The sequence below is a fragment of the Homo sapiens genome, chromosome 12, assembly GCF_000001405.40.
Source record: "Homo sapiens chromosome 12, GRCh38.p14 Primary Assembly".
NCBI classification, from domain to species: Eukaryota; Metazoa; Chordata; class Mammalia; order Primates; family Hominidae; genus Homo; species Homo sapiens.
The window spans coordinates 14,825,360-14,847,716 of NC_000012.12; the positions used below are offsets into that span (position 1 = coordinate 14,825,360).

Sequence of the window (22,357 nt, forward strand, 5' to 3'; positions counted from 1 at the left end):
GGGTTCCTCTCATTTTCTCTAATATCCTTCAGTTTTTGAAGAACAAAGTGGGGTGTGTTTCTATACTATGCCTGGTCTCATTCCTCCTCTAGGCTGTGAGCATGGGATGGCCTAGCTGTTTGAATGAATCATCAGTAGGGAGGAAAAAGTGAACTGCCACACAACACAACACATGATCATTTACTATTAAAAAAAATGAAATACTATTATACTTGTAATTTTTTTTATTAGTTGCCAGTGTTTGCTGCATCTTGGTATTTCTGAAAGCACCTAATAAATGCTTGTTGAATTTTACCAAATCAAGAGCTAGTTCATTCAGTGTAAATCAATTTGATTCATATTATTAGACAACTCAGTACAAGAATCCTGATTCTTCTAGCAAAACAAACTTTACTGAAATTTTCTTTCATTGGATTTTTTTTAAAGTAAGAGTAAATAGAGAACTTCAGGATAATCTAATAGGCGTATTAAAGAGAACACCTTGTTATAAAAATAAAGTATTACATGGGTTGAGTGTTTTTACTTTTTAAATTTTTCCTGTTTCAATCAGCTTCTTCAGATTAAACAGTATATTTCTGTACACATCAAAAGGAGACATACATGTATTTGTTTAATAAAATTACTATAGGACATAAGTACTCCTTACAGCACAGTCTCTGTTAACAGTTGCATGAATTTACACATATTTGAGCATCCGCCTTATCTTTGGAAGATATCCCAGGCTAACAAATTTATCCCAGCAGAAATTACAGTGAAATTTCTAAAACTAGTCTCTTAGAGTTTCATAAACATGTAACTTAATCAATTTAAATCAATACTCTACAGATTCCTTGCTCAACAACTTTGGACTATAGGGAGAGACTGAGGGGATGTGAGCTATGTACATTTATCCTTAACCAAACTCATGAATCTACATAATTTTAAGAGAATAGTTTCTGTCTCCAGAGATTTGATCTGTAAAACAGCAGCAGGAGTTAGAACTAAGTTATCTTTTTTAGAAACTTGGCTATTCCCTTAAGGATCATAATTGTGTAAGTCACAGTGTTCTCAAATGTTGGTGTATAGCAGAATCATCTAGAGGACTTATTAAAACAGACTGTTCAATTTCTGTAGTCTGTAGTCTGGGATCAGGCCCTAAAATTCACATTTCTAATGAGTTCTTAAAGGATGCTATTGCTGCTTGTGCCTAGAGAGTCAACGCTTTAGGAGAATTGTCTTACTCAGAAAATTATGACTTCTCATGGAAATCAAATGCTTTTGGCTGACTTTTTAGCTTCACTGAGTGGCTTCCAATTTCCTCTCCAGCCCACATTACCCCTCACTCTCTGCCAGACCTATCTGCTCCCTGACCTTATGCTGTACATACATCGATCATTCCGTATTCGCTTCTATTTTCTGCTTTCCTCTAAGTAAAACATCATCTCTGATAGAAAGCTTTATCTAACCATAGGCCAGAGGAATCACATTTTTCTCTCAGCTCCAAGCATTTAATATTTGGCCTTGTTTTGGGCACTACGCACTTGGCACATACTCTTTCTTGTTTTTTTCTCCTTCTGCTCACCCCTTCTCCCAGCCTAGAGCCCTAACGGCTGGTTCAAATGCAGCCTCTTACTTAAAGCCTTCCGGGTGTCTCTTCTTGCCTCAGTTGGAAGAAATCTTTCTTTTGAATTGTTATGAACAGAAAACTTGATTTTTGCCTTTTTTTTTTTTGGCATTTCACTTGTGGCTTGCTTTATGTTCTTAATTTCTCCTAAGAGATTGTAAACTCATGAGAGATCTGGCCTAGTGTTCTTAACTTTTAATCCCCAAAGTGCTTTGTACACAGTATGGCTCAATACATGCATTTATATGGCACAGGAAAAATGTACTTAAGATGTTGGGTGGCTTTTACCAACATAGCATGTCATTACTGACTCATCGATGCTCACTGGAAAAGCTTGCTCCCAGAGCCATGTCCCCAGGACTCTCTACTAGGTAGCCACCAAACTGCCAAAGACCCTATCCTATGCAAGTCACATAAATTGTCTGTTTGTAGAAATTCTTTCTTTTTTTCTTTTTTTGAGATCGAGTCTCACTCTGTTGCCCAGGCTGGAGTGCAGTGGTGTGAACTTGGCTCACTGCACTACCTCCGCCTCCTGGGTTTAGGCAATTTTCCTGCCTCAGCCTCCCAAGTAGCTGGGATTACAGGTGCGTGCCACCATGCCTGGCTAATTTTTGTATTTGTAGTAGAGACGGGGTTTCACCATGCTGGCCAGGCTGGTCTTGAACTCCTGACCTCGTGATCCGTCCTCCTCGGCCTCCCAAAGTGCTGGGATTACAGGGGTGAGCCACCATGCCTGGCAGAAATTCTTTCCTTTATTGACTGTAGAGGCTACTGCAACTAGGTGACAGAGGTGATTTGGCCCTGTTAGTTTCAAATCCCAATTTAAAGAATGATAGTACAGAGATGCCTGAACTCCCTGCCAGGTAATTTTATGTAGCTTATTCCCCATTCCATTTCTTTGATCATGACACAGGCCATTCAGGAAGTCCTATGGAGAGTAAATAGATGGACCGATTTTCAGTTTTGCTGTTTCTTATCCAAATCTTAAAAGGGATAAGGAGCATGGACTTTCAAAATCCAAAATTATAGAGCTAGCCCTCATCTTTACTCCATTTAGCCTGATACCAGGGTCTTCAGTGATCGTGATCGGGTTAAATAATCCCTTATGTCGCTACCTAAATTACTACCTGAGGGAAGCGTTAGAGGACATTTCCAGCTATACAATTCAACAATTTATACTTCTTTGCATGTACTAGTTTACATGTAATGAGACCTCGCTATATTGCTGATATTTGTTTGTAATCAGTGTTTTTTTCTCTCATACTCTCTGTTAACCTTCACACATACCCTCATGTTTTCCTAATATTTAAATTTGCTATGAAGACTTAAATTTGCCATCAAGTTCTCTATGAATTAACATATGAGTTTAAATTTTAACTTTTGTAATGTCTTAGGAACATGCATGAACACCCATTACTGCTGGTGAATGAAATTTCACTAACATCTTTCATTAACTTTCCCTTTTATTTCTCAAGTTTCCATGTGTCTTCTCATCTGAGGCCATACTAGCTTAATCTTGAATGCTCATAAAAAATCTCTGAAGAAAATTCACACCTTGGTTAATCTCTGGGGTTCAAAGCTTTTCTGTTTGGTGAAGAATTTGTCCTTTGCTTTCTAATTTAATCTTCTTTGATTTGTTCCTATTTAGAATAACTAAATTAAAAAAAATAAGGAAGAGTGCTTGTATTCGTTGGAACTTCAACTGCTTGATGCTTGACATAGAAAATCTAATTCAAATTATGCAAGCAAAAACATAAATTATTGATTTATGTAATGAAAAATCTTGTAGTATTCAGCTTTAGGCAAAGTTGGATCCAGAGGCTTATACATTCTCATCAGGTCTCAGTTTCTTTTCACTTATCAGCTCTTCCTTTGTTGTGTTAGATCCTTTCTCAAGGAGATGGGGTCTCCTCTCCTGGTGGCGGGATCTTTGCTGGCAGCTATAAGCTCCTACCCTGCTTTCATTAATATCCATTCAGAAAAGAAGCTCCCATTCTATTTCCAATTGCAATTCCACAAAAGTACCCTGATTGTATCTCACAGGCTCTGATTGGATCATTTTCTATTCCAGCATGAATCTTTGTGTCCATGAAGAAGAAATATACTGATTGGCTAAGGCCTGAGTTACAGGCCAATCACAGTCAGTGGGCTGAGCCAGCTCTGCATCAGTTGCTAGCTGGGCAGAGTGATTTCCCCAAGAGTACTTAGGGTGCCCAGATTGAAATAAGGCAAAGGGGTACAAGGAAAGGCATAAGAGAATTAGCAAAGAGGAGGCCATGCACTGGTTTCAGCAGAAGTATGATGGGATCATCCTTCCTGGAAAATAAATGTCCATTTCTAGCCAAAAGGCCAATAAAAAAGATTTTATTTAAATATTTTTTTTAAATAAAAGGAGCCACAAGATTTCTTTATACTCTGCTTTTGGAAAAGATGATGACACTGGTCAAAAAGGAGAGAGATGCAATAGCTATAGGATCAGGGATGCATTTCTTGCTGGAAGCTGTAAAAAACAAAACAAAGGAAATATTTTAGGTAGCAGAGTTTTTTTTAAAACTACCTCATCTATCCATTGATCCACTTACTTAACTTAGAAAATTCCTAATAAAAACATTTGAAGTTAGCTACTTAAAACACATTATTTTAGATTTTTCTAACATAACTTGCTTATTTTGCAGATGATGAAACAGACACCAAGAGGTTAAAAGATGTACTCCCAGGTAACCCAGCCAGCTGGTGGTAGAGATCTAATTTTCCATCTTTATCATCACCAGCAGCATAATCACTGTTAGCATTATCCCCATCTTAATTATCATCATCTTCATCACCATTATGAAAGTTAACACAGACTGAATGCTGATTTTGTGCTAGGATCTATTTCGAGCCCTTGCTATATATTAACTTAAGCCTCACAACAAACCTATGAGATTTTTATTCTCAATATCCTTGGTTTTTACTTGATGAGATTGTGACACAGAGATGAGAAAAAACTTGCCAGTGTCACACATCTTGTAAATAGTATAGGCACCATTCAAACTTGGCCAGTTTGTCTCAATTCTGCATTCTTAACCACTAACCTGTTTGTCTGTGTATTACATGTCCATCCATAGAATTTTTCATTACAAGGTGAGCAAGAAATATTCACACAATCCTGTTTGGAGTGTGTGTGTGTGTGTGTGTGTGTGTGTGTGTGTGTTCTAACTACACATATACACCTTTCACAGGAAATGTGGGACAGGTTAGCAGCCAGTTAGGTGTGGAAGCAAAACTGGAAAATAAAAAAAAATATTGTCAGATATAACTAATAATTGGCCATATAATGGGGTGGGGACTGAAATGAGATGGGAGATGGAAACCCTGTAAAAAATAGTCTAAATAAAGACTGGAATCTCTTTGCAGCCAGTTTTCACTATTGTTTAAGGTAGAAAAGATGTTTCTGGGAGGAAGAGATTCAACTCTAATTGCCTCAATATTTGCTCATATTGTTTGATAGGATAACCAGATGAGGGAGAAATACATTTCTACTATTTTCACACAATATATACATTTTTTAGTTTTTTGGAATTTCTATATAGGAGTGTGTGTGTGTGTGTGTGTGTGTGTGTGTGTGTGTGTGTGTATACAAGTAGAAATTCCAAGACAGAAAAGACAGAAATTACTCTGTGTGTGTATGTGTGTACTGTATGTATGTATATATATATATATATATATATATATATATATATATATATATATATATACAGTAATTTCTGTCTTATTTTTTTGAGTTGGAGTTCTCACTCTGTCACCAAGCTGGAGTAGATACAGTAATTTTCAAGACCTCAATTTTCACCAATAAGAGTTGGCAAGGAAAATTAAGAGCATATGTCTTTCTAAACTTTTGTCAAAGTTTGTGTTAAAATCAAATTATATGAATCCCTACAGAGACTTAGGAAGCCTTAATACCACTTTAGCAGGTCAATCATTAGAATGGTTCTCAAACGATTTTTGTTTTTTTTTCCTCTTCACTGAGGCTAAAGATCACAAGGATTTCCAGTCCCACCCTTTCCCAGTATTTAGAGAGCTTAAGGGTCTCTGTTAGGCCACACAGTAAGTGACAGAGCCAGTATTTAACCTAGAGAGTCTGATTTAAGAGATTATATGTTGAGCTTCCTGGAATGTAATGTCAATTCTCAGTCCTCACTGTATTTGACCTATCAACCATATTTATGGTAGTGAATCACTCCATCCTCCTTGATACTTACTCTTCATTTTGCTCTTAGGACACCAACTCTATCAATTTTCTCCTCCCTCACTGGCCATTCCTTCTCCATTTTTTTTTTTTTTTTTGAGATGGGTCTTGCTCTGTCACCCAGGCTAGAGTACAGCAGTGTGATCTCTGCTCACTGCAACATCAGCTCAAGTGATTCTTCCACCTCAGCCTCCCAAGTAGCTGGGTCTACAGGTGCACACCACCATGCCTGGCTATTTTTTTTTTGTATTTTTGGTAGAGACGGGGTTTTACCACATTGCCCAGGCTGGTCTCGAACTCCTGAGCTCAAGCAGTCCACCTACCTCGGCCTCCCAGAGTGCTGGGATTATAGGTGTGAGCCATCACACCTGGCCTCTCCATCTTCTTTGTACTTGACCTTTTAAAATGGGAGTGTCCTGAGGTTTGATCCTTGGACATTTTCTCTCCTTTATTTATACACCTTTGTGGGGAGCTCATCCAGTCTCTTGGCTTTAAATACCACCCATAACCCACTGACCTCAAATTTATCTTTCCATCCTGGGTCACTCGGAATTCTACACTTGTGCATCAACTGTCCACTCAACATCTCTGCTTGGGTTACTATTGCACAGCTCAGATATAACATGTCAAATACCAAACTCCTGCTCTTAAATCTACTCCATCCCCAGGCTTCTCCATCTCAGTGAGTGCCACCTCCATCCTTTCAGTTACTCTAGCCAAACCTTGGAGTCATTCTTCACTCTTCTTTTTCCCTCACTTTTCACTTCCAGTGTGTCAGGACCTCCTTTTGGCTCTGAATCTGGTCAAACCTTACTGCCTCCACTCTACCACCTTCATCTCTCAACTGAATGATTGAAATAGCCCCCTACTTGGTTTCTCTGCTTACCTCATTACAGTTTATCCTCTACTGGGCTGCTAGGTCAGTTTTGACACAATCTTCTATGTTTTCTGCCCAAAACCTCTCAGTGGTATCCTATCTAAGAGGAAAAGCCAAAGTCCTTACAACTGCCTTCAAGGTCCTATGTGATCGAATCTACATCATCTTCTGTCTTCGCTTTCTATTATTTTTCTCTCATTCCCGTACACTGGCATCCTTGCTGTTGCTTCTTACTTGAGACATTTGCACTTGCTGTGCTTTCTTCCTGGAATGCTCTTTCCTCAGATATACATGGGACTGGCTCTCTCATCTCCTTTCAACCTTGGCTCAAATGTCACCCTCTCAGTGAAGTTTCCCCTGATCACCCAGTTTAATATTGCCACTCCTTCCCATAGTGTTCACTGTCTCCTTACTCTGCTTTATTTTTCATCTTAGTATGTACCACCTACTAACTACGACATAATTTACTTATTTATTTTGTTTATTTCTGCCTCACATCAATAGAATGTAAATCCCCAAGGGCAGGGATTTTCACCTATTTCCTTCCCTGCACCTAGGATAGTGCCTAGCAAATAACAAGTGACCAATAAATACTGATTTGTTGAATGAATGAATAATAGCTGCTATTATGATGATACCCAAATAAGAGACAAACACATAGACACTACTGTCTTGCAATCATAGTCATTCTTCAAAAAAATTCATAAGTCCTCTTTATAATAATTAGGATGTTAAAAATAGCTTCCTTTTGATTTTATTATGTCAGGTTAAAGTAACTAACTCTGTTGATACTTTTTCTCTACCTCTTTTATGGCCATTATCATTTCTACCTGGCATTATTATTATTATTGTTGTTACATGGACCATATATTTAGGAAAATAAATGAAAGACAGCTGTGCATTAATTACAAACTAAAGTTTTATTTGAGGATACCTCACATTTTTTTTACTTTTGTAGTTGTCTTTAGTTTTCTATTCAACTATCTCTTCAAAGTTTTTAATTTTCTCTTTACCTTTTTACAGGATTTTTAAAATTGGAGAATGTGATCAATTGATGGGTTGTGACATCAGCTTAGGAGGTCATAGCCATCATTGTTTAATAATGTAATAAAATAAGTTAGAATAGAAACACTAGCATTAACACTGCCTATGAAAAGGGTAACTGTTGTATTTTATGAATATGTGTGTATTTGCATATTTATGTGTGTGTGAACTGATTTATAATGTAAACAGTCATAGTCAAGAAGCTTAAAACTAACGGTAGTTTCTCAGCTATATTTGTTGAAGAATGGATGAATCCCCTGAAACCAGTCTATGGAGAATATTGTCCTGGAATTCTTATTAGAAAACATGGGGAAGGATCCTATTTTTGTCATTTGTAAACTATGAATAATTTTACGCAAATCCCTTAAGCTCTCTGAATCTCAGCATTCACATCAGTACAGCGGAGTCAATAACCTGACTTACAGGGTGATTGTGAAAACTAAACAGATAATGGGTGTCCAAGCGTTTTGTAAACTAAACTGCCAAACAAATATCATTTTATCAGTGTATTATAACCTGATTTTGGTCATCTCTGCCTTAGGGTATAAAGTCTGGAAGAAATACATAATGATTATAACTTTTATTTCATGAAGTCTGAATCTGAATTTTATCAGACTGTTCAGAAGTAAATAGTCCTTAAACAGAAAAAGGTAAAGCTGACGTGCAGTATACCAAGTCTAGTGTTTGAGGCAAATGCTATCTATAGCCTCTTTCTGTCAAAATGCAAGGAGCAAGAGTGTTAATATTGTAGAATATTACCTAGCAAAAACTTAGCACCCGAAAATGAAAAGCGTTATTCCTTCTGCCTCTTCCTTTGTTTCTCTTCTTACTATCAATTTCACTGAAGCACATGCTTGTGCCATTAAACCATTATCCCACTTCCATGTGCAAAGTACTTTCCCAGAGTTTCTCAGTTGTGTTTGAAAGGAGGCAGAGACACCAATGCTATCACAACATTCCCACAAGATGAGTATCACTTCCATTTTATAAATGAAGAAACAGGCTCAGAGGTTAAGTCATTTGCACAAGGTCACCTAGCTACTAACATATACCCAAATCTTTCTGGCTCCAAAGTTTATTCACTTTCCACCATGCCGTGTGGTCTCCCAGATTTATTCAATGACTCATTCTTTCATCCATTTATCTGAGACAGACACTCTACTTCAAGGTCATTGTGATGCCACAAATAGGGTAAACTAATTTTAGATAATTGAAGCCCAGAGTAAAAGAAAACAGGCAAAATAGAAAGCTAATAAAATAAATAATAATAATGATAATAGTATCTTAAAAGTTTTGAGTACTTAACATTTGTCAGATACTATTCTAAGAGATTTTACATGCATTCATTCATTTTCTCCCCACTAGAATCGTACAGGTTTTTAAAAAGTGAAGTTTACATGTAAAACCAGGCTGACTACAAACAATTGCCTATATTTCTCTAGAAACATGTTAAGAATTTTGATTATGTGAAACATTTTAACAAATAAATCCCTGTTCTTTGTGAATCCAATGATATAGAACAGAGCATGTATTTGTGTGTCTACAGATTTTTGGCATAGGTTATTTTGCTGAAAGAAGCAAGATTTAAGGGCAAATAACTAACATTCTGTTAACATATTTTGAGTCTTCCAATGGGCATGAAGACACCTGTTTCTATGGCAACCAGTACAGGTCATGTGAGGGGTGATGGAATAATTAGAGAGGAAAGCTGTTAGTTTAGAATGACAATTTTTCCTTTTGCAAATTTACTTCCTTAAATAGTATAATTCTATTAATTTGATCTCTTGTCTCTCTAAAAGCAACAGATTCCTGGAAACTCTTTAAACTTGAGTTACATGCTAACAGGACTGATTTTAGCATAAATTGAAGGACTGGAGAAGCTATGCTCTTAAATATACTGTCTCTTCTTTGGGAGAATTACAGTATGCTGCTGGGTAATTTTAAAGGTCTTCAAGTGGTCTTTCCAGTATCACGTCTGTCAGATTGAGAGGGAACAGGAGAGAAAACATAATTCACTTGGCTTATAGGGACTTCTGGGGACACAGAATAGCTTGTGGCTCCTGCTCATGAAACAAAACGAAGCTGAAAGAATGAGAAATAGTGTCCAGAGAAGATTACAGTTTCGTGAGGAGTTAGATATCAGTGTTCCAGAACACCATCTGTGAATTCCCTAGGCTGGGGTTAGTGGAGCAGTGAAGTGGGAAATGGTAGCTATCTAGAAAGTTGGGTCTGGGGAGAGTCCACTGATCTTACTTCCTCCCTGTTAAGGATCCCAGATAAGAAAGACACACTACCTCCTTCCTCTTATTGTTCATGTATGGCTCAGTCCAATACTGCTCCAGAATGTTGGGGTAAGTACTACTTATCAGTTAAAATAAATCACTTTAAGGACCTTTCTGATGTTCCTTCGCTTACTGATTGAGAGAAAAACAAAGAAACAAAGAAACAAACAAACAACACTGTAGCGAATAACTGAAAACATTCTGAAGGCAATCAAACTTTTTTTTTTTTTTTGACGGAGTCTCATTCTGTTGCCCAGGCTGGAGTGCAGTGGCGCGATCTTGGCTCACTGCCACCTCTGCCTCCTGGGTTCAAGTGATTCTACTGCCTCAGCCTCCTGAGTAGCTGGGATTACAGGCTCGTGCCACCACTCCTGGCTAATTTTTGTATTTTTAGTAGAGACGGCTTTCACCATGTTGGTCAGGCTGGTCTCGATCTCCTGACCTTGTGATCCACCTGCCTCGACCTCCCAAAGTGCTGAGATTATAGGTGTGAGCCACTGCACCTGGCTGGCAATCAAACATTTTTTAAATCATAAGAGATAGATATTGTGTCCTGTCCAAGACTGTATTCAGTAGTGTCCCTTTATCCTTAGTGGATACATTCCAAGACATTCAGTGGATTCCTGAAACTACAGGTAGTAGTGAACCCTATGTTATTTTCATATGTGTATGTATGTATATACATATATATATATATCATCAATGATAAAGTTTGAAGTGTGGCAGCAAAACTAGCATGAATTTCTTTTTCCTTCTTCACAATTCCACAGGTAGAAGATTCATTTTTACAGTAGATCTTAGCAACCTCAGCATACAATTTTTTCTTTCTTTCTATTAAGTTGAGAACTTTAAACTTTTCATTCAAAGGAGGCGCTTTCTCTTGGGCATATCTGAATCTCCAAGATCACTATTCTTTCACTTTGGGGCCATTATGAAATAAAATGAGGGTCACTTGAAAACAAACACTGCAGTACCGAGACAGCAGATCTGATAACCGAGAGGGCTACTAAGTGACTCACAGTGTAGACTGTGGATGATTCACATCCCAAGAGGGAAGGCACAAGATTTCATCACACCACTCAGAATGGCATACCATTTAAAACTTAGGAATTCTTTATCTCTGGAATTGTCCATTTAATATATTCTGCGGGTAACTGAAACCAGAGAAAGCAAAACCATAGGTAAGGGGGCATTACTGCAATTTTTTGCCCTCAACTAAATGACTGTGATGCTAACTAGCCAATGGCAGATGAGGCTTAGGTAGGTCAGGTAGAACCAGAGGATGGACCAGCCTTCTCTGCAACCCTTAGTCAGAGTCTGGGATCAAAGGAAGAAAGGCATCCCTGCAATGTGAGCTTATTCCTCTCCTTCTTTTACCTTCCCAGATAGTTTCGTAGCTGTGGAGGGTGAGAAAATGCTCCAATTCCAGCTCTTGGCTGATTATATGATGCCTCTGACCTATCTCTTCCCTCTTCACTTCAATTTATAAAGAAAATATTAAGTTGAGAACTTTAAACTTTTCATTCAAAGGAGGCACTTTCTCTTGGGCATATCTGAATCACCAAGATCACTATTCTTGCACTTTGGGGCCATTATGAAATAAAATGAGGGTCACTTGAAAACAAACACTGCAATACCGAGACAGCAGATCTGATCACTGAGAGGGCTACTAAGTGACTCACAGTGTAGACTGTGGATCCCCCAAACAACGGGATGATTCACATCATGACCAGTGGTATTTTTATTCTGCCGTTTACAAGCTTTTCTGCATGGCCACACAAGCTTCTAATTGATAAATTTCTGGGAAAAATTTAGTTACGGTAACTCACATTGCAAGTGACCATGTTGATCATTTACATTGTGACAACAGCTTACTTTTGACTAGGGGTTGAAGCTTCTAGAATATCTTCCCTTCTTCAAATATTGGAACTGTTTTTAATTAATTGTGTTAGATGGTCATGTAGTCTAAGGCTCAGATTGCTTAGAGGTATATTCACCATCATTCATTCACTCATTCAACAAAATAGGCTGGGCACTTCTATGTGCCAGAGGACTGAAGTTAGTAATAGCTAACACTAATTTACCATTATTATATGCTATAGAATATATAAATAATTTTATTTATTTATTTTTCTTTTAAGATGGAGTCTCACTCTATCGCCCAGGCTGGAGTGCAGTGGCATGATTTCAGCTTACTGAAACCTCCGCCTCCTGGATTCAAGCGATTCTCCTACCTCAGCCTCCTCAGTAGCTGGGACTGCATGTATGTGCCATGATACCTGGCTACTTTTTGTATCTTTTTGTAGAGACGAGGTTTCACCATGTTGGCCAGGCTGGTCTCAAACTCCTGGCCTCAATTGATCCACCCACCTCGGCCTCCCAAAATGCTGGGATTACGGGTGTGAGCCACCGCACTTGGCCAATAATTTTACATTTTATTTCATTTTCACAAAAGTCTTCTGAGGTTCTGTTACGATAATTATTAGGTAGATGAAAAAAGAGTTTAAGCAACTTGACCAAGAACACATAGCTATTAAGTGGTACAGTGGGATATAAATTCAAACAGAGTGGGTCTGGGCTCAAACTGCCTGCCTGCCTAGTTCTCAAATACTAGTTCCTCAAATACTAGTCGAGTTCCTGCCCCCAGGGAGCTTATAGAGCGACACAAGATTATTGATTCCCTTAAGTGTGATTGGTGATTCCAAATATTTCATTAAGACCAACCGAACTGTCAGAATTTAGTGATCTATGTGGCTACCCCAGCTAAACCTTAACTCAAAACTAAGTTAAAGTTGCATTTGGGTAGTTTCGCCATAGGAAAGCAAAGATCATTAATTTGGGTGGGGGTGTCCTGAAATATTTTTCTTTGAGGTTTATAGAGTGGCAGAATGTGAGTAATGGTTTATATTATATACTCCTTTCCCTCAGTTTCCCACTCAATGCTTAATATAAATCTTCTGTAATTTTTCATTGAATATATTTTACTGTGCTTACTATCCTAGTGAAGAATTATATGTTCCAAATTCATGATGAGAATGAAGTAATCATATCCTAGTCAGGTGTAGTTCCAAAGAATCCTGGAACCTGGCTATGAATGTTTTCATTTATTATCAAAATCTCACTGTTTTCTTCATATTCTACTATAGTTTTTCATCCTCTACAAACACTAATCTCCTGTGTCTGTGGGGCAGATACTCATTTCACTCGTTTTGCTGCCATGTTTCCAAGGTGACATGTGAGGAGATGAAAGTATTGATAGGTCTCCTCTCCCTGGTCTGTATTTATGGCTAGGACAGAGTGAGCAGATTCTAGACCTCAGTGTGGATGCCAGTTTGAACACTTTTGCAACACTACTGCCCTGAAATGTTGAGAAATGCTGAGAGCCTGAATTATAAATCATAGCAATAATGATAAAGCGAAGACAAATTTGGGGATATATTGAAGGTAGACCCTGCAACTGGGTTCCAGCTGACTGTGAGTGTGAATAAATTTACATATGAACAGTCTTTTTTTTTTTTTTTCTGAATCAAAAAGGGCACAGGATTTGCTACACAACTACCCCTCCATGAAATGGCTAGGTGGCAACATAAAATTCAATCAGCCATGTTTTTCTTAAAAAAAGTTTAACTTTTTTTTGTATTTTGATATCTCTAAATTTTCCTGCTTCAGTTCATTTTTCACAGTGTCATCAGAGCCCTTTCTAAGATGTTGACCAAATTGATTTCTACTCCTTAAAAACTTCTAATTACTTCTTATTACCTACAGCATAAAATTAAAAGGTCCTTAGCATGAAATACAAGACCTTTTATAATGAAGCCCCATCAGAATTCTCCTACCTGGATAAATCCCCTCCTCCCTTCCTACTCCTATTCTTTTCCCATATCCTACACATCCTACACACCAGCCATCCAGAATTTCAGAGTCCCTGAAGACACCAGGCTGTTTGAAATCCTTGTGATTAACATATGCTGTGTCTTAGTCTGTTTTCTGTTGCAATAACAGAGTATCACAGACTGCGTAATCTGTAAAGAAAATAAATTTATTTCTCACAATTCTGGAGGATGGGAAGTCCAAGAGCATGGCTCCAGCATCTGGTGAGGGCCTTTATGCTATACCATAGCATGGTGGAAGAGAAGTTGGTACACAAGACAGAGAGAGGCTCCAGTGATCAGATTCTCTTTACAATGACACACTCTCACAATAACTAACCTGCTCACATGACAACAACATTAATCCATTTATCCAATCATCTCTTATTAGGAAAGGTCCAATCAACTCTTATTAGAGCCCATTTCATACCACTGTTGCATTGGAGATTAAGCTTCCAACACAGGAACTTATTGGAAGACACATTCAAACCACAGCAAGGTATTCTTTGCTTAAAATGACTTTTCTTTCATTGAAAACCCCCATTCTCACGACAAGTTCCATATGGCTATTATGAAGCCTTCCTCACTTTTCCTGGAGAGAATGAGTAGCTCCCTGCACTGAGCAGCCACAGCTGTTTGCTTAAATATTTGGTATATCACTTAGTACTTTTGAGTGTATACATTTGTTCATATTTCCATTTCTCGTTAGACTAAAAATCCTCCTAGGTTATAATTTTGCTTTATTCATTCTGTATTTCCAGGGCCCCCATCACAATAGAAGATGATTAATGAACAGAAAATTAATGAATAAATATCTTGCCTCTTGCTTTACTTTTAGAACTCCTTATCCATGTAATGACAATGAGAAAAGCAATGAGTTTGAGGGAGAAGGTAAAAGTGCTATCTTTATGCTCCACCTTCCAGTCAAGCTTTACTCTGTCTGTCTGCAATTTTTTACATAATAATTTCACTGCAGAACTTATTGTCCTGGAGGTAATGGAGTAGGAAGAAAAGAGAAGTCAATAAATAAAGTGGATTTTCTCTAATCTATCAGTTCCATCATTACCGAAGGCTAGTTTTCATGTTTTTGATCTTTCCCCAAAAACCCACTGAGAAAAAATAACTTTTATAAAAGAGCAGTGGTCTGTGATCCTGAGTGGCCTCAATTTAGATAAAGAATACCTTTTAGCAGCTGACAGTTATATGTGCTCAGGTTCCCAGTTGACCTCAACTGCAACCAGTCTCCTCTTGGGTGGTAGCTCATATTTATAACTTTAAACAGCTCATAGGGAGGGATCAAGACTTCCTTCTTGAGGGAGAAGTACTGTACAGGTGCACCCAGGCAGGTGAATATGGTAAATAGTGTCTGGTTCCCAAACTCCTGTGCCTCTTCTTTCAGGAGGGATGTGGAGAGGAATTGGCCAAATCGAATGGTGGCCCCTGTGTAGGCATTAAAGTGGACATCCTTCGTCCTATAATGCACCTCATAGCACAGAGTGCCATTCTCCATGATGCTGTCTTTCCTCAGCAGCTGGATTGCTGAGGTGAGGTAGTAGTGTAAATATTTGAAGTGGAATGAACGTTCATACTGCTGTGGAGTCCTGGCAACAGAGGCCATGGCTCTAGTAAAGTCAGAATGAACATTGCTGTTCAATGTATAAAACAAAATAGCCACAGCGTGTGTGGTAGTCATGTTCTGGGGTAGAACTTTTCCTTGGTTAAGCCAGGCTAAGTGGGCTTTTTGCCACATCCTAAAATAATTCTTCTGGGCTTCTATGTCTTTTGTGAAATAATCCCCTTGAGTTAGTTTCTCCATAACCTGTTTGCTACAGCCTTGGTACTGATCATCAAAAGAACCTGGTGCGAAGTCGAAGTCGATTTTAATTGCAACCTGTAAAAAAAGAAAAATCTTGAGTTTAATTTTTCAAATCAGATGGTGAATGTGGTTGCAGATTTGCTGTACTCTATAAGGGTAAGTCTTCTCCTGGAAACCAATATTTACTGAAGTAAGTTACACTGAAAATCATTACACTGTTCCAATCCTTACTGCATCAATGACCTGTGCTAGAGATTGAATTTGGTTTGATAAATAAATTACTGAAAGCTTGAAAAACTCATCTCCCCAGAGAGGAAGTAACTCTTTTAATATCACTAAAATCACAGCATGTTTGCATAGTAAGTACTTTGAAGAAAAAATTCAAAATCTTGTAGTTTAATTACACTTTCTGTTTCCTCTACTTTCCCCCCTCTTTCTAGTCTCTCACTGGTGTTTTCAAAAATATCACTTTTATGAATGCCCAAAACCAAATTAAATCCTTGAACTTTATCCTTAAGCTATGAATAGTACTAAGGGGGCTCTCATAAGTAACAACCTTCTTGTCTACCTGGGTTCTGAAAACATTGATAATAAAAATAGCAAAATATGAAAGCCAAAATATCTGTTTTCTTACTGAAAAAGGGCACGCTACAGCAGTCACATTGTTAGGTCTGATAGCAAGTGGCTTGTTAAGAGCAAATTCCAGAATGGGACCGACTCGTTTGCAGGCAGTACTGAACTGGGGCCTGCCCAGGTAAGATTCTTGTCATGGGGAAACAGAGAACTGATGCCCTTTGCCATCAGGCTAACTCCCAGGAGGATGAAGAGCAGAGCCAAACTCAGCACACCCAGTTGTTTTTTCCCATGTTACCAGTCAAGTACATTTGTCCCCCTCAGGGACAGCAGAGTGAGTCAAGGGTTGGACAGTGGTCAGGAATGTGCCTAGGAAAGTCCCTCCCCTCCTGGAAAAGGACATTCCTTTCTAATGGGTAGCCAACAGAATGTTGTTTATTCACGTCTAGTGCATGCTAAACTGAAATGACAGATTTGAATAGAAGTCCACAAAATATCATCAGACTATCATTTAGAGCCATATATAAATTATATAAATTCTAAAACATTCCTTTCTTGGCAAAGAAATGATGTTTTCGTAATAAACAGTACTCATTGAGGGACATGTTAAAGGATCACATTCCATCCAGTCAATGTTAAGGATGTTGGAACTGGAACTTAAAGAACATCCCATTTGGTATTTTTACTATGTTATTTATGATGAGACGTCAGCTAGTTGTTTGTGAACTAGAACACATTTTTAAGACTGATTAAATGATTTTAACCAATAACTCTTCACATCAGGTATTAAAATAGGTCTACGGTATCTATTTAAGCCAAGCCGAGCCAAACCAAACCAATAATACAATGTTCTGTCAACTGTCATGATGAACTCTGAAACTTTGTTAATATGTTACTAGATCTCAAATATGTACTCTGTCATCTCTTAACATTAGGTTGTTTTTTGTTACACAGATCTTTATTAAAATATTCACTTAAAACTTAAGTCAATCTGTATGCTAGAGTTTAAAGCCAAATAGACTTGGTTTATTTTGCATTGTTTGTACTATGGAAGCAATATTTTACTTAATTTTTACAGTGGATCAGGAAAATAACTTTATGCCACTAGCATCCATAATGTCAAGTGTACTAACAGTGAAGGATTCTACAATTTTTCATAACTGTTTTCAACACTCTTTACTAACATGATTTGTTAAAATGTCTGAATGAAACTAGATTCTGAATGCCTAAGTTTTCGGCCATTTAAAGGCTGTGGCCGGGTGAATGCTCTGTTGGAGCACTGATCATAAAGAGATCACCCCCTCAATTGTCCCCCTACCTCAGAACCCTCTGTGGGTCTCTGCAGGCCAGAGAGGAGCAGCAGGAATGGCAGCAGGCCTCCAAGGAGCCAGATTCTCATCGTTGCAGGAGGTACAGTAGTTGGGAGAAGAATCTTCTTGCATCTGTTGATCAATGGACCCATTTGCTTGTGTCACAAGTACTTCTCCTTTGCCCTTGCAGCTTCATCCTGAGATGAATTCTCAGAGTTCTCCTTTGAGGTTTTCTTTCAGTCTCATCCGTAACCGTTTTTTCCCCTGTCTATGCTGAGCAACTTCTGTTGCCCACCAACAACCAATAGCTTGTCTGAGGGAAGAAATCAACTCCGACTTCTTTGCAAAACTGAAATCTCTGTGAAATAGCCAGATGCGCACACCAAATAAGGGTTTCTAAAGAGAACCCAAGTTACTTTTCAATTAAAAAAATAAAATCTCTGATCTAGTCTGTATTCAGGGGAATGCCGAAGTCCTGTTAAGTGTCAGACTCAGCAGTTCAGCCTTCCCTTTCCCAGCCAAACAGGAAAAAGCATGCTCTGTCCAGCGTTTGGGGCCAAGTAGCATTATCTGGAGCCCCAGGCTTCCATCAAAACTGATAAGATTGGCATGCGCAGGGCGGCTGGGAACGCGCCACCCTGGGTGTCTATAGGCTCATCTGGCCCTGCTGATAGGCCCTGCCCAGGACGGGCGTTCACAGAGCAAAGTGTGTTTTAGAGTTATTGTCAAAAAGAAGGCTCTTTGTACTGCTTTTCCCTGGCACCTTTGAAACTCTCCAATCCAGAGATTGTACCTCTGGGTTCAAAGCTCTTCCCCCATTTTCTCTTCTGAAGACAGGCCCTCTGTCCGCACAGTTCCAGTCTCCAGTGAATCCTAATGACGACTGTCAGGAGACTGCTTATGTAGAGCTGACATAAGTTAAAATAGGGTCCACTGTGCAAACTTAATCCAGCACAGTTCTATTAAGCACTCTCTTTTAGGTAGGTACTACCCTTTCTAGTCTAAACATCCTTCTTCTCCTCCCAACCCTTGATATAATTATATTTTCTTGCAAATATTTTGTATTTATACTTCTGGATTCATTATTTAAGAAACTAAAAGTTAGCAATCCTTGATAATTGTTTTTCTTGCAAATATTTACTTCTGGATTCAATTTTTAACTTTTAAGGTAAACTAAGTGCTGTTCTTAAGTATTCTAGAATTTTTTGGCACCCTGAATTTTTTTAATCTAAATTTTCTGATGATCACAGCAGTTCTGTCTCATTAACAAATATTCAGAATATTTAGAAAGCACAAAGGAGAAAAAAATGACACATAACCCGTCACTTGGAGACAGCCACTAATTAGGTCTGGATTTTGATTTATACACCCTTAGACATACACACACACAGGTTTCTAGAACTGAAATAATATAGTATGCAGTTTTGCATACTGTTTATTCCCCTTAATATTTTAATGTAAGCATGTCCCTATATAATTTAATACCTATTGAAACATTTTTTAAACAAAGGTTCACTATATTCCATTACATAGGTGCTGCCACACAATGGGACAGCATGGGTGGATCCATGGACAGTCTCAGAAGAAGATTGATAAGTGACTAGAACATGGACTCTTGAATAAGACATCTCAGTTCAATTCCTGGTGCTCCTTCTTCCTAAATGTGTGATCTTGGACAAGCTACTTAACCTCTCTGTCTCTCTGTTTCCTCATGTGTTGAATGGAGATAATAATAGTACCAACTTCATTTTAGTGTTGATACATTCATACTCCTTAGAATAGCATCTGGCACCTAGAAATTTTCCAACAAATAAAACCAATTATTATTATTTGCACCAAAGTTTATTTAATAAATATCTTATATTTAGCTTGTTTTCAACTACATAAATTTTTGTGTGTTTCTCACAATTTTTAAGATGCAGTTCTAGAGATGTGACTACTGATCCATGGAATGCATATTTTTCAGATTTAATGGCAACCACTAGCAGTGTGTGAAAATATCCCTTTAAGACTTTAACAATTCTTAAGGTTCCTTATTAGCAACTGTTACTTTGGAATATTGAGATGTCATGAAGAGAACTAGACTTAGAATATGAAAATTTGAATTATAGTTTGAGTTCTACCCACAATGCTGGCTGAGGTAACTTTAAAAAATAAGTAATTTGTGCTTAGCCTCAGTTTCCTTAACCTTATAGAAAGTTGTCAGGCTTAAATAAGGTGAAACTTTTCTTTTATTGAGCAAGTACTGTACTTCAAGACCTTTTTGCATGTTATCTCAACCCATGGGACGACCATGAAGAGATATTTTAACCTTTCCTTTATAAATGTGGTTGTTGAGGCCCTGTGAAGTTTAATAACTTTTTAGTAATCACAGGTGCTTTTCTGTCTCCTGAAGCCCACGATCTTAAAACACTCTAAAAGAGTGTGTCATTTTATTATTATCTTCTATAAAGGTTTTGCTATTTTTCCTATCGTGACTGCCACTTCCAGGATAAGACCACTGGAGGGCAGCAGAAAACTTTGTAACATTTTATACCACTCAGTCTAAAAGAGGGAGAACAGAAAAGGGAATGGGGCAGGGAGCAGGAAGGGGGATAGAAAGAGAGAGAGAGAGGGAGAAAGATAGAGGGAGAGAGGGAGAGAGAGTGAGGGGGAGAGCAAAAGAGAAGGGGAGCGAGAGAGTGGGGAGGGGAGGGGAGAGAGAGAAGGTAGGGAGAGAGAGAGAAGGTGGGGAGAGAGAGAGAAAGAGAGAGACAGAGAGAGAGAACCATCAGTGAAAACAACTGGGGTAGGGAAAAGCTCAAGTTCTGGTGTATATGTGAACATATTTGAATTAAAATGAAAAGTTAAGTTTTCTGATTGTTTGGAGTCAATAAAAAGTCATCTTTTGCCTTAAGGGCTATCTTATTAAGATTCTCATGTAATAATTTAATATTAGTTAATTTAGAGTTTGGGGTGCATTCAGTTATCATTTAATGATACCCAGTTCTTCAAAATGCAGCCTATTTGTGCTGTCTTGATGGGTTGGGATATAAGTTTTGAAGTAGCACAGACCTTGTGTTGGAATTTTACTTCCATCACTTCCTACCTTTGTGAGTTGGAACAAATTACACTAATTCTCAGTTGCATTTTCTTCATATGTAAAAGTAGACATGGTAACACCAGTCTTGCAGGGTTCTGTTGACAATGAAATGAAAGACCAACAACTCATAGGGTGTCCAACACAGTGAAAGTTAACTTTATTTTTTTTTTTAAGCAGCTGTTTAAGAAGAGGTTTCGCTAATTTTCCAGATCTATTTTCTGGAATAAATTCTAGATATTCTAGACTATTCTAAACCTTCTTTCAGAGAATGGGTTGCAGTACTCACTAGAGGGCCTTTCCCAGGGAGGAAACTTATCTTCTGTTACCGTCCTTGAGGTTTGGCAATGACCTTTAGTAGTTCCTGTTTGGATCTTGTTGAACTCCTTCAGATCTGTGTCTAAATTTAATAGGAGTGTTTTATTGCCAGAAGTACTTGTTAGTCACAGGAAAGTTGTTTGATAGTGACCCCATAATTTGGTAGGCAGAATGGGTTTGAGTTATCTACGTTTTAACTTATCAGTTCCTTCTTAACTCTTAACACTCTTACAGAAGTGAGCAAAGCTCCCTCAGTTATTTCACATTTTTATAACTTTTTATTTAGATAACATTTCATGCTTACACAAAAGGTGCAAGAGTAGAAGGAATTTCGATACACTCTCCAAATTAATCAGTTGTTAATATTTTACCCCAATTGCTCTATCATTCTCTCTTTTTTTAAACAACTTGAGAATAAATTGCAAATATCATGCTCTTTTACCCTTAAATACCTCAGCATTTATTTCATAAAACAGGGACATTCTCTTATATAACCACAGTTAATTACAAATATCATTTATATAATATCGTTATCTAATCCATAGTTCATAGTCAAATTTATTAACTGTTCCTATAATGTCCTTTATGTCTCGTCCCAGGATCACAATTTGCACTTAGTTGTCAAGTCTCTGTAGTCTCTTTAAGCTGCAATACTTCCTCAGTGTTTATTGTGCCTTTTGACCTTGGCAGGTTTGAGAAGCATTGGCCAGTTATTTTGTGGAATGTCTGTCAACTGGGGCTTGCACATTATTTCCTGGTAATTAGATTCAGATTATGCAGTTCTGGCAGGGAAATCACAGGGAGAAGTTTTACCATTCTCAGGAGACATTTGCATCTATTGTTTCAATACCTTTTGCAATAATAGTTATTAAAGCAATTGCTTTATTATAGTATCTGGTTGCTTGGTTATATGTTGATCATCAGATTATGTTATTTACCCTTTCTTTTTCTCACCTTTTTCTTTAAAAGCATAGGATCTTAGTGTCAGGAAAGAGCTTTGTTTTCCTTATCGTCATCCCCAACACTCCTCTGTGAATTTCCTCAACATTGTTGACAGAGCAACTTCTGCTGCATGTGCTCTCACAACGGCTAACATTCTGTAAGTGTTTGTTGAATGAATGAGTGAATGAATAAATGCTTCCAAATTTCAGTAGCTTGGGTACCATCCCCAAGAAGGCCATTTATTCTGGGAGAGATAGAGCAGAATTCCTAGTGGTGCATAGGAGGTTCTGAGGCCCAGGCTCACAGAAAAGACATTTGCCCAAGGACTATGCCTGAGTCTATCCAAATCCTGGGGACACAATGGGCAGCAGAAGATCTGACATAACTCAGGGACCGTCTCAACCCTTGGGTAGAGC

General features: G+C 38.0%; 1 protein-coding gene across 2 annotated transcripts; it reads right to left on the reverse strand.

Annotated features, from left to right (window-relative positions):
- On the reverse strand, positions 210 to 18,167 carry ART4 (ADP-ribosyltransferase 4 (inactive) (Dombrock blood group)). 2 transcript variants are annotated; one of them, NM_021071.4, is made up of 3 exons: positions 17,611 to 18,167; positions 15,086 to 15,794; positions 210 to 4,103 (listed from the first exon to the last, which is right to left on the reverse strand). In NM_021071.4, exons 1-3 carry the CDS (start codon positions 17,752 to 17,754, stop codon positions 4,012 to 4,014), a joined length of 945 nt encoding a protein of 314 aa, NP_066549.2. In that variant the 5' UTR covers positions 17,755 to 18,167; the 3' UTR covers positions 210 to 4,011. The 2 variants fall into 2 exon arrangements, with proteins under 2 accessions (NP_066549.2, NP_001341575.1); NM_001354646.2 differs by lacking the exon at positions 210 to 4,103 and having other exon boundaries at positions 14,626 to 15,794.

Bases quoted from the DNA above. Each gene is read 5' to 3' on its own strand.
- ART4 (NM_021071.4), bottom strand. From the start codon at position 17,754: ATGGGTCCATTGATCAACAGATGCAAGAAGATTCTTCTCCCAACTACT. The intron at 15,795-17,610 runs GTAGGGGGACAA...CTTTTTTTACAG, and splicing joins GACCCACAGAGGGTTCTGAG to GTTGCAATTAAAATCGACTT. The intron at 4,104-15,085 runs GTATTCTTTATC...TGTTTTTTACAG, and splicing joins TAACTGTCAGCTGCTAAAAG to CTTCCAGCAAGAAATGCATC.